Source organism: Homo sapiens, chromosome X (assembly GCF_000001405.40).
Source record: "Homo sapiens chromosome X, GRCh38.p14 Primary Assembly".
Lineage (NCBI taxonomy): Eukaryota > Metazoa > Chordata > Mammalia > Primates > Hominidae > Homo > Homo sapiens.
Genome location: NC_000023.11, coordinates 19,613,740 through 19,630,913, shown reverse-complemented (window position 1 = coordinate 19,630,913; position 17,174 = coordinate 19,613,740). Strand labels below are relative to the sequence as shown.

At 43.6% G+C, this 17,174-nt stretch overlaps 1 protein-coding gene across 32 annotated transcripts in view, besides 1 other annotated feature; it reads left to right on the top strand.

Annotated features, from left to right (window-relative positions):
- SH3KBP1 (SH3 domain containing kinase binding protein 1) overlaps nucleotides 1-17,174 on the top strand; it is a 353,624-nt gene that overhangs the window by 256,687 nt on the left and 79,763 nt on the right. The window lies entirely within an intron of this gene.
- Nucleotides 4,559-5,758: an enhancer, noted in NCBI's record as "MED14-independent group 3 enhancer chrX:19643274-19644473 (GRCh37/hg19 assembly coordinates)". NCBI's record gives its function as "activates an origin of replication core promoter dependent on BRD2, BRD4, P300/CBP and CDK7 cofactors, and independent of MED14, by STARR-seq in HCT116 cells {active_cell/tissue: HCT116}" and the evidence as "EXISTENCE:reporter gene assay evidence [ECO:0000049][PMID:35650434]".

The window sequence follows — 17,174 nt, the reverse complement described above, 5'->3', positions numbered from 1 at the left end:
TGGAGACTGTGGTGTCACCTGGCCCTACCCCTCCCCCAGGGCTTGTCCATAAGGTGATCAGTAAGATTTGCCTTTGTTATCAAGAGGTTACCTCTAAGACATGGCTTTAGAGATTGTGTGTTTTAAGAGCCAAATCCAAACATGTCAGGGAACTAATGACCCAAGAAGTTAACTAGCTTGCCACAGGTCAGGAGTTTTAGGGAGAAAGCTGGTCCTCTCATGGACTCCATATAACAGTGGTATGGAGTATATAATGCTTTCTGGAACAGCAAATCATTCCCTGTTTTGCAGATCACCCAAGAACTCGTCCATCTTTTTACCTGTAAAGTATTCTCCCCTGAAGTTATTTCAGTATGTCTCTGTAGGTGTTGAACATGGCAGGAGGAAATGAGGGGAAGAATGCTTCCCTTGTTGTTTTCTGCAAATGAGGCAGAAGTGATTCTTTTCTGTCTCTTTCAGATTGCTTTCTGACACACAGTGCATTTCCTATTTTTAATCAGACCTGTAACCAAACAAGCGGAATAAGGAAGTTGTTAAATGGGTGTGAAGCACAATACGAATGCTGTAATAATTAGCACAGATAATTTGGTTTTAGAAATACTGGGAAAGGGCTAGAGTGCTTTTTTCCCCCTTGATGATAAAGCAACCAGAGAATTAAATAACTGCTATTCTTTGCAGTGGGAGGGAGCGGGGGACTCACTAGCCTGTTTTTGTTTTGTCTTTGGAAGAGAGGGAGCCTCTTTTTAGTTGAAAACCTGGTATGTCAATAATATTTAATGAGGTCTGAGAAAAGACACACATCTGTTTCTATTTTGACATATTATACTCCAGTCCTTCCATTTGAATACATATCATAATGAGAACACATTCATCTTGATGATTTTGTTCCTAACCTCCCAGCCTGAGATCCAGTCTGATAAAAATTAATGTGATTTTTCTAATGACCTTAGTCAGAAAGGGAGTATCTATCGGTCCCATCCACATGGTACAGATAAATGAACAGGTAGATGTGGCAAGCTGCTTTCAAGAGTGTTGTGAAGGTTACATCCCATTTCTCTGGTTTCATAGATTAACGTATTTGAAAGCAATTTAGAAACTGAAGCAGCGCACTGCTATTAATATTATATTTGCAAAACATGACGTTGTCATCTCTGCTGTACACTTGGTCTGTTGACCTGACTTTCACATTGATCCAACTCCTCAGGCCTAGAGTTCTCATATCACCATTTTGACACTTGGTCCTCCTAGTCCCACCCTGCTCCCACCCACAAGCCTTTCTCTATCCCTGCCACTTCCTGCCCTGCAGAGCTAAGCACAGGCTTGAGTTGTTCTGTATCTGTCCAGGCCAGGTGAGCAAGGACCAGGCTTCCTCCATCCTTCTTTCTCTATCACCCACCATAGCACCCGGTCTGGAGGAGAGCCCTGGGGTAGTGAAGGATGGAGGGATGTTTCCCCCCACTCCAGTGTCCCCTACCCACTTCATCCCTAGCACCTCAGCCCCTTCTTTTTGTCATTCTCTAACACTGCTGTGCTCACTTACCCTTCTGCACCAATCAAAATCTTTAGTAACTTTCTTTTTCTTTATTGTAAAATCCAGATAGATGATCCTAGCACTCCTTCACCCGTCCTGACCTCAGTCTGTCTTGGTGGCCTTGGTCCATGTGGCTGTTCTGCAGGTACCCCCCGTATATCCCCCTCCTGCTTATGTGTCCTCACTAACTTGACTCAGACCATGTTCCTGATGCCCGAGATGCCCTCTGCCTACCCACATTGCTATTTTTTGTTTGTTTTGCTTTATTTTGTTTTTGAGACAGGGTCTCACTCTGTCGCCCAGGCTGGAGTGCAATCGTGTGATCTCGGCTCACTGCAACTTCCACCTCCCAGGTTCGTGCGATTCTCCCACCTCAGCCTCCTGAGTAGCTGGGATTACAGGTGTGTGCCTGTACAGTAAATCATGCCTGGCTAATTTTTGTATTTCTAGTAGAGACGGGGTTTTACCATGTTGCTCAGGCTGGTCTTGAACTCCTGACCTCAAGTGATCCACGCGCCTCAGCCTCCCAAAGTGCTGTGATTACAGGCGTGAGCCACTGCAGCCGGCCTAGCCACTGCACCCGGCTTCCAGTTTGCTGGGTTTTTTTGGATAGCTAATCACACAGCCAGTCTTAACTCATGCTGCTTGGGCCCATTTTAGAGCTTGCTGCTTAAGAAAATCCTTTGTGCTCTATCATTTTGCTTTTATTATTTTTTTATACAACCTGCTGGGAAATCAAATCTCTTGCTATCCTGTGCTTGTGCAGATTTTTACTTTTATTTCCATAAAATGCCTGCCAGCCTTAACCTAGCATTCCAGTTTGCCGGAAGCGGTGTGTTCAGATGACAAGTGCCATGTAGGCTACCAGCTCCCAGAACCAGGGTTTGAATCCCAGCTCCACTGTTCCTGGCTGTGTCTTTTCGGGCATGTTGCTTACCCCCTCTGAGTCTGAGTTTCCTCAGCCATAAAGCAAGGGCCATAAAGCTGACCTCACAGGGCTGCTGCGAGGATTTACTCTGGCAGGGAGGAGTCTGTCAGTGGCACCCATAATTCTAGGAATTGTCACCCAACCCTGGCTGCTCTTTCTTGGGCCCTGGAAGTGGGAATGGAAGGGCTGTTGTGTCTGAGCCCAGTTTGCTGCTGAGGCTGGAATGCCATGACGTTAAGTAGGTTAAAATGGTGAAAAATCCACCTAAAATAGTTAAGTGTTCACAGTGGAGGAGATTTTAGCAAGAATTTGGAAAGAAAACATGCCATAAATATTTTGCTTGCTGAAAGTGGGAAGAATGGAGTCGGAGCCTGTAAAACCCTGCTGACATTATAGAAGATTGTTACTCTTCCTCTAAGTTAGGAATCGCCCAGAAGTTCATTGAGATGATTGTATACTATTGCTATTATAAAATGAATGGTTTCACCATGATCTGTTTAATATGCATTCTGATACGCATATTTATTGGATGTAGGAGTTGAGGTGAAAGACCTGAACTGCTGTTCTCTAAATTCTGTGTTCGCCGTAGAGGTTCCTGATAGACCCCGAATTCCTCTGACATTTACTTTGGTATCATTGAAGGTGGTTTCCCTTTGCCCTGCTTTTCTGTGCTGTAGCAGGAGTCACAGAGCAGGCTTTGCCCTCATTTTTAGCCCCAGATTGTCAGTTCATGTGGCTTTCTAGAAAATGAGTCAGACACCTTTAGTGGGTGTGTATAAGCCCTCTGCAGTTCCTGAAATAATGTGCAAAGACCCAAACTATTTCTGTATGTCCCTGGAAGCCAGGAGGAAATGTGGCAACCTGAATGGTTTGTTTTCTAGTTTATTTATAAAGAATTCTTGTGAATTTAGGAACATTTCCACTCGTGCAGAACACACCTGTGTTTAGCTTTTATTTCCAGTCACTCAAAAATAACTCCCGTGTCTGTGTTCCTGCCACCCCCATCCCTGCCTTCCTGATTTGTGCTCAGAGTGTGTTTGAAAAGGTTCCGAAGCTTCTGGGTCTCATCCCAACTGGAGAAGCTTCCTGGAGAAGGGCTGAGGGCAGCTTGGCAGGAGCTATGCCAGGGCTCAGCTGCAAGGGTGAGATGGCCATTGGAAGGTGTCCCACGCTGTGGCCGCTGCCGCTTGGGGCAGAATGAGCCCAGCTGTGGAGAGTGGCCATGTTCCCACTCTTGGCCAACAGCCTCCTGGCCTCAGAGCAACAGCCATTCCTCACAGCTCCCACTAACCTAGGAGGAAAGGCTTCCTCTGTGACCCTATTGTAAACAAGGACCTTTAGGTGTTTCTTATCAAACAGGCTTCCTTGGGTAGTTGTGTCTTTGACCCTTAAGCATACCCAACCTCCCTGTCTTCATTGTTTTAAGCCTATTTGATGACATCAAGATGAACGCTTAGAAAGCTAACGTTATTGGTCAAAATCGTGGAGTCGTAGAGATGGAGGGAAGGGAACGGAAGCAATATTAGCTAGCATTAATGTTCATGGAAGGAAACTGATAGACACACCCTAGAGAAAGAGGGGACCCAGGCCGGGCTCAGTGGCTCCCGTCTCTAATCCTAGCAGTTTGAGTGGCTGAGACGGGAGGATCACTTGAGCCTGGGAGTTTGAGACCAGCCTGAACAACATGGTGAAACCCCATCTTCACCAAAAAATACAAAAATTAGCCAGGTGTGGTGTTGTGTTCCTATAGTTCCAGCTACTTGGGAGGCTGAGGCGGGAGGGTTGCCTGAGCCCAGGAGGTTGAGGCTGCAGTGAGCCATAATTGTGCCACTGCACTCAGGCCTAGGGGACAGAGTGAGACCCTGTCCCCCAAACCACAAAAAAGAGGGGACCCAGAATATTAGCTAAAGACGGTTAGTGGCATCCCCAACACAGTAGTACAGTCATCTTTCCTTGGACCATGAGGATTATCCACTGAAGATTATTGACAACAATTTTAATTTGCACCCTGTCCTCTTCCCCTCACAATGTTCGTTCACTCATTCATTCATTCATTCATTCATTCATTCATACATCGAAGAATATTTATGGTGTGCCAGGAGCTGTGCAAAATGCTGGAATACAATGGTAAGCCAAAAATTCAAACCAGGAATTTTGCTTCTTTGTAGGGACCCCAAGTATTTGGAGCTAGACATGCTGTGAGGGCACAGTTAGAACCGCTCCTTTTCATCTCTACCTCAATATGTTTTCCTCCCTCCTGTCCCAGACAACAGTTGAACATTTAATTAACTTAATGATAGCTAGATCTTTCTCCAGGACCACAGCTTCCCAGCACAGGATTCTGAACCACTGGCAGCAAGAGCCCGGGACCATCATCACCATTCCCCTTTCCTCAGGAGTCTCCCCGGAGCTCAGCATTTCCCCTCATCTTCACAGCAACCCCGGGAATTAGGTGGGACCATGCGTGTTCTCTGCAGATTACAAAGGAGGAGCAGAGGCCCAGAGTGCTGAAGCAGCTTTCCCGAGGGACTCCCAGCAAGTCAGTGGCAGAGCCAGGTCAGAGGCATCTGCTGACCCTGGGCCAAGTGCTCTTGGAACTTGGGGGCTGGGCAAGGTGGTAACTGCGGGTGGAGTTCGTGTTTCCTGTGGGGCTGAGTCACTTCCAGAGGTGACTCTTGTCTACTCATTGAGAGTCCTCATTGTTACTGGATATCCAGGGCAAGTGTCTGTGGAGTTTCCTTTGTAAGGTAATGACATTATCATTGTTACTTAGCAGAAAAACAGTATTACCATGCCATCACCCCATCCTTTGTTGCTGATGCTCGCGTTTTGAAATCTATGTTTCCGATCTGTTAGGGTCAGGACATCACTGTGGTGGTTTCTGGATCATCCATGACTGTAGGAGTCCACTGCCACCTCTAAAAGAGTGAAATGATGGTCCATGCAGAGGGAATGATGAGTTCAGCTCAGGGTTGACATTGGTTCTTTTTGTGCCTGAGGCCTGCCTCCCCAACTGCTTTCTTCCAGTTTCTTCCCATGCCCAGAGTATTTTGCCTTCCTCTTTTCTTCCTAGCCTGGTTGCCACTTAGCTTTCCACTCGCTGTCGGGGGGCAAAAAAAAATGCAGGCGGGAGTCCTGAGGCCCTTCCTAAGACATTCTGTGATCAACTCTGTTATTTTTTTTGTTCTAATGTTTATTTCCCCTTCCTGCCTCCCTCCCATTAATTCATTAATGAACTAAAACATGTATTCATGAGAAAAATGTTTTCAGACTTCCTTGCTTCCCACCCCACAGGAAAATAAGGTTGCCTTCACAAAGAGAAGCAGCCTCAGGAATCTCAAGCAAGATCCTTAGCTTGGCAGGAAGAAAGCCGATCAGCTAAATCGATTGCTGGCCCTGACCCTTTCTCTCTGAACTGCTGAAGCTTTTAGCAGAGCTCAAATGGTAGGATTAAATGTGGTTCCAAGGGTGAGGAGTAAATTAGCACGTGTCACCCTGAAGATGATGACATGCTGACAGACCCATTAGACAGACATGTTTTATGAGTGAATGAAGAAGTTAAGCATAGGTCTGGGATCATCTGGGTTTACAGACATTTGGAAAATGTCAGTGTTGAGCAAATGAGTCATTGATGTCATAGAATGTATTTCTTGCAGCATGGCCTATCTTGTTAGACTGCTTATGTCCTTATTCTAGACAAAAGTCACAATATATCTCCTCCTCAGAGCATTTAAAACCCAAAGGAGTATAATTTGTTGCTGTTTTGTCTTCCTTTTATAAGTAGCCAGGACACTGGGACCAGTGAGAAGAATCATTACCATCACACAGACATAGTTTTAAATTACATGAGGATGGTAAACATAGGGCTTGGGGTGGGAGAAAATATCGTTTTAGTTCACCAGTAGACAGTTGTTGAAAGGCCACCCCAACATTTTGATGGTCGTTATTATAGATTTTTCCTTTGTATCATGGACAGATGAGCTTGCAGCTGATGTAAATTCCCAGGTGCATATGCCTACACAAATTATATAAAACTGTCTAAAGAGATCCTGTGTTTGTTCAACCTAATTGTCATATCTCTGCAGAATGTTGTGCTAAAGTGGCAGGACATCAGTAATCCCCCATCTTGGAATACTTTTTTTTCCCCTCTGCAACACACAGAAAAAAAAAATCTGTAGGTATCTTAAGGAATTAGAGAAACTCCCCTTTTTTTTCTGTTTCTATCTCCACCCTTTCTATTTGTATTACTCTGTTAGGGGTGTTCTGAGGCTTAAATGACATGTTGTATTCAAAAGTGCTTTGGAAACATAAAGGTTAAATCACAGGGCTGGGTGTAGTGGCTCACACCTGTAATCCCAACACTTTGGGGAGGCTGAGGTAGAAGGATTGCTTGAGCCAAGGAGTTTGAGACCAGCTTGGGCAACATAGCGAGAGACTCTGTCTTTACACACACAATATTTTCTTTAAAGGTTAAATCATAGTTATTGCTATGATAAGTTATTAGAAGAAGATGAAAAGACAAATGCCTGGTAACTGAATGTTCTTTCCTGGTATATTGAACTGTCCTGAAATTAAGGTCAGTACTTCCCCTGAAGTTCCTTTTCATTATTTATTTTAGCTTTTCTTAGGATGAAAGTAATGTATTACAGTTGTGTAACCTGTCTTGTTCAGTATCTCAGAGTGCTTTGCATTCATATTTGCATTTTATTAAAATACACGGTTTCTGAGATGAAAGTGGCATGGGATATACTTTTTTGTTTGTTTGTTTTTTGAGATGGAGTCTCGCTCTGTCACCCAGGCTGGAGTGCAATGGCGTGATCTTGGCTCACTGCAACCTCCGCCTGCCGGGTTCAAGTGATTCTCCCGCCTCAGCCTCCGAGTAGCTGGGATTACAGGCAACTGCCATCATGCCTGGCTAATTTTTGTATTTTTGTAGAGACGGGGTTTCACCATGTTGGCCAGGCTGGTCTTGAACTCCTGACCTCGGGTGATCCGCCCGCCTGGGCCTCCCAAAGTGCTGGGATTACAGGCATCAGCCACCACGCCTGGCGGGGATACACTTTTAAGTCATACTTTAAAATTGTATAAATAACACTTACTCTTGGAAAAAAAATGAGAAAAACAGACAAATAAATACAAAGAAAAATCAAAATTACCGGTGACCTTACCACCTTCACATACCTCTTAATATTTTCGCAATTATTCTTTCAGACTTTTTCCATATGTGCACATAATTACAGTTTAAAATAAAAATAGGATCATATTACATACACTATTTTATAATAACCCTCTTTGTCCAAAATACATCATGATTATCCTTGGCAGCATGGGTAAATGATTCCTTAGCATCCTGAATCCTAATGTATGGAGAGAGTACCAAAATCCTCTTTTTTTTTTTTTTTTTTTTTTTTTGAGTCAGAGTGTCACTCTTTTGCCCAGGCTTGAGTGCAGTGGCATGATCTCGGCTCACTGCCACCTCTGCCTCCTGGGTTCAAGCGATTCTCGTGCCTCAGCCTACTGATGAGCTGGGACTACAGGCCTGTGCCACCACACCCAGCTAATTTTTGTATTTTTAGTAGAGATGGGGTTTCGCCATGTTGGCCAGGCTGGTCTTGAACTCCTGACCTCAAGTGATCCGCCTGCCTTGGCCTCCCAAAGTGCTGGGATTACAGGCGTGAGCCACTCGGCCTGGCCCTCGACAATCCTCTTTTATGCTTAGCTTGTTTCCAGTTTTTCTTTGTGTTAGACCATGTTGCACATAGTCGTCACCCTGTTCAACAGTCTTTGTGTGCATTTCTGCCACTTCCTTCTAGCTGTGATACCTTGGCAGGTTACTCATCTCTGTGTGCATCAGTTTTCACATCTGTGAAATGAGAGTAATAATAGTACCTACATCCTGGTGTTGTGAAGATTAAATGAGATGAAGTAGGTAAAGCATTTAGAAAGCCTGGGTCCTAATAGCTGCTACATAAATGTTAGCAGTTACTATTTCCTGATGATAAATTGCTCAGTGTAATACTGTATTGATGCATTTTGAGGGCATATTGAGGATACATCCTGAAAGATTGTGCCAATTTAGTCTCCTCACAGGAGTGCATGCAAATATATTTCCCTATTCTTGTCATCCCTGGATATTATCATTCTTTTTAATCTCTGCTAATGTGATTTGGGCTCTGCTAATTCTGCATTTTAAAAAATGATTACCGAGCTTGAACATTTTATGCATCATTTCCAATTGATTTTTATAAAAATACCTTATATTCATGACATTAACCTGTCATCTTCATATTACAAATATTTTTTCTTAGTTTATGACTCATGGAGATCTTTAAGAAAAAAAGTCATTAAAATAAGTGCCTTTTAGGCTTAAAATTTCCTCATTTTATAGTTAACTGTATAGTGCAGTAAAATGTGTCCTTTTAAAAATAGTTTTGATTAAGGTTTTTATATTTTATTTCTAGCTGGAAATGGTAGCCAACTATTAAATGCATTCTTTTTCTGCCTTCCTCAGGGCTTTCAGTGTTTTTATTTAAAGCTTCTGTCTTTACAGTATTTTTTTTATAGTGGCATTGAGAGAGTCCCTGAGGTTCTGCATGGATGCGTATAAGGATCCTCATATCCTAGAACAGGGTTTGGCAAACTTCTGCAGAGGGCCAGGGAGTAAATATTTCAGGCTTTGTGGGTCATGCAGTCTGTGTCACAATTACTCAACTCTGCCATTTTAGAGCAAAAGCAGCCATAGAGGTAAATGAATGGGTGTAGCAGAGTTCCAATGAAACTTTATTTATGGATACTTAGATTTGAATGTCATATAATTTTCACATTTCTTGAAATATTCTTCTTCTTTTGATTTTTAAAAACCATTCAAAAATGTAAAAACTATTCTTAGTTTGTGGACCATAGAGAAATAGGTGGCAGGCTAGACCTGGCCCATGGGCTGTAGTTTGCTGGCCCTTGAAATAGAATATCTGGAAATAGACTCATAAAAAAATCCAGCCGATTAATTTTCAACAAAGATACAAAGACAGTTTAAGAGAGGATAATCTTTTCAAGAAATGGTGTTGGCGACCGGGCATGGTGGCTCACGCCTGTAATCCCAGCACTTTGGGAAGCCAAGACGGGCGGATCACGAGGTCAGGAGATCGAGACCATCCTGGCTAACATGGTGAAACCCCGTCTCCACTAAAAATACAAAAAAAAAAAAAAAAAAAAATTAGCCAGGTGTGGTGGCGGGCACCTGTAGTCCCAGCTACTAGGAAGGCTGAGGCAGGAGAATGGCGTGAACCCAGAAGGCGGAGCTTGCAGTGAGCCAAGATCGCGCCACTGCACTCCAGCCTGGGCAACAGAGCAAGATTCCGTCTCAAAAAAAAAAAAAAAAAAAGAAAGAAAAGAAATGGTATTGGCACAATTGGACACCCATAGGCAGAAAAAAAAAAAAAAAACCAACCTGAACCTATTATACAAATTTAACTCAAAATGGACCATAGATCTACATGTAAAACATAAAACATCAAAAGTTATGTATGAAACACTGGAGAAAAGAGTTGTTAGACATGATACCAAAAACACAATCCATAAAAGAAAAAACTTGCCAAATTGAACTTCAGCAAAATTAAAAACTTTTGCTCTGCAAAGACACTCTTGAGAGAATGTTATTGGCTAGTCTATTTTTCCTACAAGGCCATCTAAGCCCCAGTGTTCAGTAAGTAATTGCCTGCTACGTAATTGCGTGGATTTGAAGGACCTTGGTTTCATTCTGAGTCTTCCTGGGAATACCTCTTGTAATTCATGGATCTTTCACATTGGAGCCTTTCCTTGCCCCGTGCCCTTTCTCCCCTGTGGTGGCAGACAGACAGAGCCATACTCCAGTGGTCTGTTCTGGACTCAGCTGAGCAGCCCGAGGGCCTGGATTTGACTTTGGAATTGTATTTTTTACTCGCTGCACAGGCCTAGAAGCTAAATCAGCTAAGTATAGATTAAAAGCCACCAAACAAGTTTTCAGGCTAAGAAATATGTTTTCCTAGTAGAAGAATTTCTTAAAAGAAGTGTGGATTTGTCTGGTGAAGAATGGAAGTGGAAGATAGGAATTTACTAATAGTCGCTGCAGCTGGCTTCAATGTTCTTGACCTTCAAAATGATCATGTCTATGCCCTTCACCTCCTGTTCCTTCCCAGTCCTTATCTGTGGAATGAAGAATACCACCTTCTCCTTTTTTAAAGCTTTCTTTGTATCTCTTAGAATTGGTGCAGGAGCTAAGAAAATCTCTTAAAACATAATAATAAAAAATGCTTTATGAACGCTACTGTCTACCTGTGAAGCAAAATGATTTTCTCTCATAGCTACCATCCTTTTAATGGAAGAAAAGCATGTATTTGGATGCAGAGTCAATGCAGTTCTCTAAACCATAAATGAAGGTAAAAACTCAGCTATAGGATGCTCATCCTGGAGGAGTAGACTATATATTCAGCAATGTGCTATGGATGAGCTGAAGGTGCCATTAGAAACAGCTTTTAAGATTTCCGATTAAGCGGTCATCTCAATGTAAATGACCTAGCAAGGTCCCTAGCAACTTTCCCACAAAATGAGAAGTTTCTGTGAAAATGTTGTTACATAAGTTTACATTCTTGATTATATCTATTTATATTTTTTTAATTGTATTTATTTATTTTTTTTGAGACAAAGTCTCACTCTGTCGCCCAGGCTGGAGTACAGTGGCACCATCTCGGCTCACTGCAACTTCTGCCTCCTGGGTTCAAGTGATTCTCATGCCTCAGCTTTTCAAATAGCTGGGATTATAGGCATGCGCCACCACACCCGGCTAATTTTTGTATTTTTAGTGGAGCTGGGGTTTATGTTGGCCAGGCTAGTCTCAAACTCCTGAGCTCAAGTGATCTGCCCACCTTGGCCTCCCAAGGTGTTGGGATTTCAGGTGTGAGCCACTGCACCCAACCACATACTTGATTATATTTAAATGGACAGGAAAAAAATGTAAAAGTGCTAGCTTAATAATTTGGATTTTGTGTATGACTTGTTCACATGCCCTTATATATAGTTAACGTCTCTTGGAATACTTAAAGCCATCTTACGAGGACATTGGGAAGGTCCTGTCTATATAAGGATCTCCTTTTCACATGATTACTGTTTTTTGGTTTTTGTTTTGTTTCGTTTTGTTTTGTTTTGAGACAGAGTCTGGCTCTGTTGCCCAGGCTGGAGTGCAGTGGCACGATCTTGGCTTACTGCAATCTCCGCCTCCTGGGTTCAAGCAATTCTCCTGCCTCGGCCTCCCGAGTAGCTGGGATTACAGGTGCCCGCTACCACATCCAGATAATTTTTGTATTTTTAGTAGGGATGGGGTTTTGCCATGTTGGCCAGGCTGGTCTCAAACTCCTGACCTCAGGTGATCTGCCCTCCTCGGCCTCCCAAAGTGCTGGGATTACAGGCGTGAGTCACCGCTCCTGCCCGATTTTTTTTTTTTTTGTTCGTTTTTTAAGACAGGGTCTCACTCTTGTCACCCAGGCTGGAGTGTGGTGGTGTGATCGCAGCTCACTGCAGCCTTGACCTTCTGGGCTCAGGTGATCCTCCTACCTCAGCTTCCCAAGTAGGTGGGACTACAGGCATACCACCACATCTGGCTAATTTTTTGTAGAGATGGGGTTTTGCCATGTTGTCCAGGTTGGTCTCAAACTCCTAGACTCAAGTGATCCGCTCACCTCAGCCTCCCAAAGTGCTGGGATTACAGGCGTGAACCACTGCACCCGGCCAATTACTGACCCTTGAAGTGGACTTATGGGAGTAGAAATTCTTTCATTCCACAATTAGAAAAAAGGCTAAAGCATAAACATTTTTTAGAAGACTTTAGATTGCATATGTTGCAAAGGAAATTATGAAATCAATAAATAATTCTGGTATTTTTTTGTATACAAACTATATAGCCATGTTCCACAACTCTAGGAAGTACCAAATATGAATGGTCACCCTGGAGTTGGGCCAGCATGGCAGCATCTGTTGGGTGCTGTTCTCTGAAGAGGCTCCAGATAGAAACTGTTTTTTTTTTTTTTTTTTTTTTTTTGAGACAGAGTCTCGCAGTCTGTCACCCAGGCTGGAGTACAGTGGCAAAATCTCGGCTCACTGCAACCTCCACCTCCTGGGTTCAAGCGATTCTCCTACCTCAGCCTTCTGAGTAGCTGGGATTACATGTGTGTGCCACCACGCCCGGCTAATTTTTGTATTTTTAGTAGAGACGGGGATTCACCATGTTGGTCAGGCTGGTCATGAACTCCTGACCTTGTGATCCACCCACCTTGGCCTCCCAAAGTGCTTAGATTACAGACGTGAGCCACTGCGCCTAGCCCTAGAAACATCTTTTTCTAAGAGGAAAACAGGCTGAGCACACAGAGGCCTTTAGGGCTTCTGCCCTTGGTTGTCTTCTATGAAAATCCCCATGGGCCTTCCTGATTCCTGCCTTCGTGACACTGAACACCTGTGGAAGTCCTGTTCTCTTACTAGGGACTGAGATTTGGTTTAAGGTTTTTTTGTTTTTGTTTTTGTTTTTTCCCCTCATTTCTTAATGACATCTGAACTCAAAGGTTACTTCTGTAGCATTTCCTCACCTATGTGCTGTGAGGGTAGGGTGGTGATTTCTTCAGCTCTCCAGGGTGGATGGGAAGGGCCTTAGCTGGCCGGAATCACCCCTCTGGGCTGATGGCCTTCAACAACCTTTGGCCTCCAGCAGTATGTCATAAAAATAACTACTATTTTATGTGTGCGCCATTATCTGAAAAAAGCTAGGTGGCACTAACTTACTGCATGTATTTATCCTTCTGTATAAAGATGTTCAACAATGGCTCTACTTTAGGGAATACTTCACCTTCCTTGTTAGAGAAAGGAACATATGACTGGCAAAGGAAACTCCAGGATAATTAAAAACCCTTGTATGTGTCTTCATTTCACACATTCTTTCTCTAGGACTTCTTTTGGGAATTAGACCTTGAAATAGCTCAGACTTTTAAAGATAGAGCTGAAAGTTCTATTATATCTAGAATGAAAAAGTCCAGTCTAAATGAAGAAACAATCTTTTTGAGGGAATATATAACTTGGGGTTGCGGCTATTATAGAGTAAAGGGTAATTAGACTTGCCTTCCTGTCATAGACAACTCTAACATTGGCCAAAACATACAAAGTGGCTGTTTTTAGGCATTGGACAATACATATCACAAGAATGTGATCCTGGAGACAAGGGAAGCATAAAAGTGAGTTTTACATCAACCCTGGCTTTTTGCCTAGAGGCACTTTCTAAATTGCAGCACAGGGCAGTGGAGCCCAAACAAAGAGTAGCAGACTCATTTATTGGATAGAGGAAACAAGCTGTAATTCAGGACTGCTGGGGTGGCTCAAATTTTCAGGGCAGGGAACTGCAAAAGAATGAGCTACACAAGGAAAGAGTGTCAGAAATGTATAGATCTAGATGATTTGGCCAAATACTAAGCCAGGCATCAGTAGGGCAAGACTCTACGAGGCCTGGCAGAAAATAAGAACTTGGAGGGGCTGTGAGCTGAGTGGATATCCCAGAGATCACCAGTAATGGGAGATGTTAGAGTTCTAGCTAAGCAGAGTAGAAAAACACGAGGTGCTATCCTCGTGTTGAGAACTTCTGGCATCCAGTTGAGAACCCAGAAAAGCCAGCCACAGGAACAGCACTACCCTAGACCCATTGTAACAAAGCCTAAAAACCCAAGCCTTGACCAGTCAAGCTGACCTGCAAGTAACCTGCCTACCATAGCAGAACTCAACACTCTTTCAGGGAAGACAACAAAATCCAGTCTTTGAACAACAGCATGCACAGTTGCTCAGCAACTGTTGAGATAATATAATCGCAAATGACTAGATCTGTGAAGAAGCAGGAAAATGTGAGGTGGCTTGAAGAAGACATAGGGGTGTTTCTGAGTACAGTTTTCAGGCATTGATACCTGCTTCAGTTAATATTGGCATCCCCAAGAGGAAATGTGTTTACTGTTTTTTTGTGTGTTATCCACCCAGTTTCTTGTTGCTAGTTATATAGTATGTAAAAAGAAAAAAGCAAAAGTTAGTATAGCAAAGCCTGTAAATTGTTGCCTGCTAAGAAGCCAGGATTTTTTGTAAGTAGTTCCACTCTGGGTCATGACTTCGTTGTATTACAAAAGAGTGAGTGACTGCCAGTCAGGCGTGGTGGCTCACACCTGTAATCCCAGCACTTTGGAGGGCCGAGGCGGGCAGATCACTTGAGTTTAGGAATTTGAGACTAGCCTGGGTAACATGGCAAGACCCTGACTCTACAAAAAATTAAAAAATTAGCCATGCATGATGGAGTATGCCTGTAGTCTTGGCTGCTCGAGAGACTGAGTGGAAGGATTGCTTGAGCCTGAGAGGTCAAGGCTGCAGTGAGCCATGATGTATTTATCCTTCTGTATAAAGACGTTCAACAATGGCTCTACTTTGGAATGCCACTGCACTCCAGCCTGGGCAACAGAGTGAGGCCCCGTCTAAAAAAAAAAAAAAAAAGTGAATGACTGCCTAAGCCTTAGTTATCCTGTGATGTTGGCATTTGGAATGTAGTGTTTTCTTGAGTAAGCTCGTCCCTAGGACTGTCTCCTCAGGCTTCTTTCTTTACTTTTGGCCTGCCAGGCATTGCTTCTGACACTGAATAGTAGTCAGTGTAGTCCTCGTTTTTTCTTCTTACCTTATAAACCATGATATGTGGCTGAGCCTCCTTTAGTAACTGATTTATGGGGATGTAGAAAATTCTGAGAGAAATCCCAGCCATGCAGAATAATTGCATCTCTTGGGGAGGTGTTAACAAGCAGAGGCAGAGATGAGTGCTTCTGGGCCCCGGCTTCCATGGAACTTTCGCTCAATAGCCCCCACCCCTAAGCTCTATGCAGAAGGCGTTCATTAGCAAATATTAAATGCCTGTTTCCATACTGCTGGTGGATGCTGAGGGTGTGAGGCCCTCTGGGGGCATGCTGAGGCTCACTTAACAGCCTCACCCAAATTGTCCAACACTCATTTTCTCCTCAAATGATATCAGGGAAGGTCATGAAGAACAGCCATGCTGGATAACTTCTGGGAAATTGGGACTGGGGAGCCTGGGGGCAGCTGACCACCAGAAGTGACTGAGCAGAATACATTTCTTTTTCGTTTGCATCAAGTGGTGTACCCATTTTTATGTTTTCAGTTTTTGGTTTGAAATGTCTGTTTCTAAGCTGCATGTTCCCATTTGAACTCAAAGAAGACACTTACAATGCCTGAGAAAATGTAGCCTTCCTTTTTGGGGTAATTTTAAAGTTTTTGCCACAATTTTGAATAAATAATAAATTCAGAACAGATCAGCAGGTAAAGCCTGATCATATAGATGAAGCTTCCTTTGTGTAGGAATTCTATACCTGCTTCCCCCTTGTTCAGTTTGACCTCACTTCTGATGTTTGAAAGTGGAGAGAAGTGGAACAACAGTCTGGAGGAAGATTGGGTCATTCATCTATTCAGTCAACATTTATTCAGAATTGACATGTTCCGGGCACTACGGCAGGAATTAGATGGAGACAGAGGTGTGAAGATAAGAATCCTCATTTTCAAGGAGCTTATCGTTTTCAGGAACCTTGTGACTCAAAGTATGGTCCACGGAGTAGCGGCATTGGCATCACCTGGGAACCTCTTAGAAGTGTAGAATCTCAGACTTGCCCCAGACCTACTGAATTTGAATTGGCATTTTCACAAAATCCCTAAGTGAGAAGCATGCACATTAAAGCTTGAGAAGCGTTCCTCTTAAATCACTGATTCTCAGCCTACACACTGGAAAAACCTAGGGACATTGTAAAAGCACTGATTTCCTGTGCCCATTCCCCACCCCCAAATTGTGATTTAATGGGTATGGAGTCTGGCCCAGACATCGGCATTTTCTTTTAAATTCCCAGGTGATTCTAAATGTGCAGACAGGTGTGAGAGCCACTCATCTAGTACATGGCTTTGTACTCTTGACAAAACAGCCCAAGATGAGATTGTAGCTCATTCTGTTAACCAATGTACAAGCTAGGTGGCAAGTTTGTCTTTTCTACAGATTTGAAGTGCCTAGACTAGAGGTAGGCACACCAGGTCTCACGTGCCCTCTCTGTGCCCACAGGTTGTATGTCAGGGAGTCGCTCTCAGCTGTGTGGAGCACTTCGGCCAGGTTACACGGGGCCATGCTGGCAAGATTGAACAGACTGAGGCCCGATACTGAAGTCTGGGCAAGGCCTCCTTCCTCAGACACACCCCGGGGCCTTGGCATCCCTCCCCTTGGACCCCCTCCAAGTGTGTGAGCTGCTGCCAGGGGGTTTCACCTGAGGCAGCAGGGACTAGGAGTGGCTCCTTGGCACTCGAGGATGGCGCTGGGTCGCATGACAAATGCACATGAGTGTAATTAAGCAGCTCTCCTGGTCACATTGTCCCTCAGGGATTCGGACCAGGCCATATAATCACGATGATGACAATAACAACAACCAGCTCTTGTGTCACTCTTTATACTTTGCAAAGATTTTCACATGTGTCAGGAAACCGAGATCCAGGGAGCTTTCGTCACTAGGGAACAGCTTAAGTGTCACATGGCCCATGCTTGCTCTGTTCCACCTCTCTCTGAGTTCCACTTGAACATGTCAGGCAAAATAAGGAATGGCTCCCTTGTGACAAAGTGAGTTCCCTGTTATA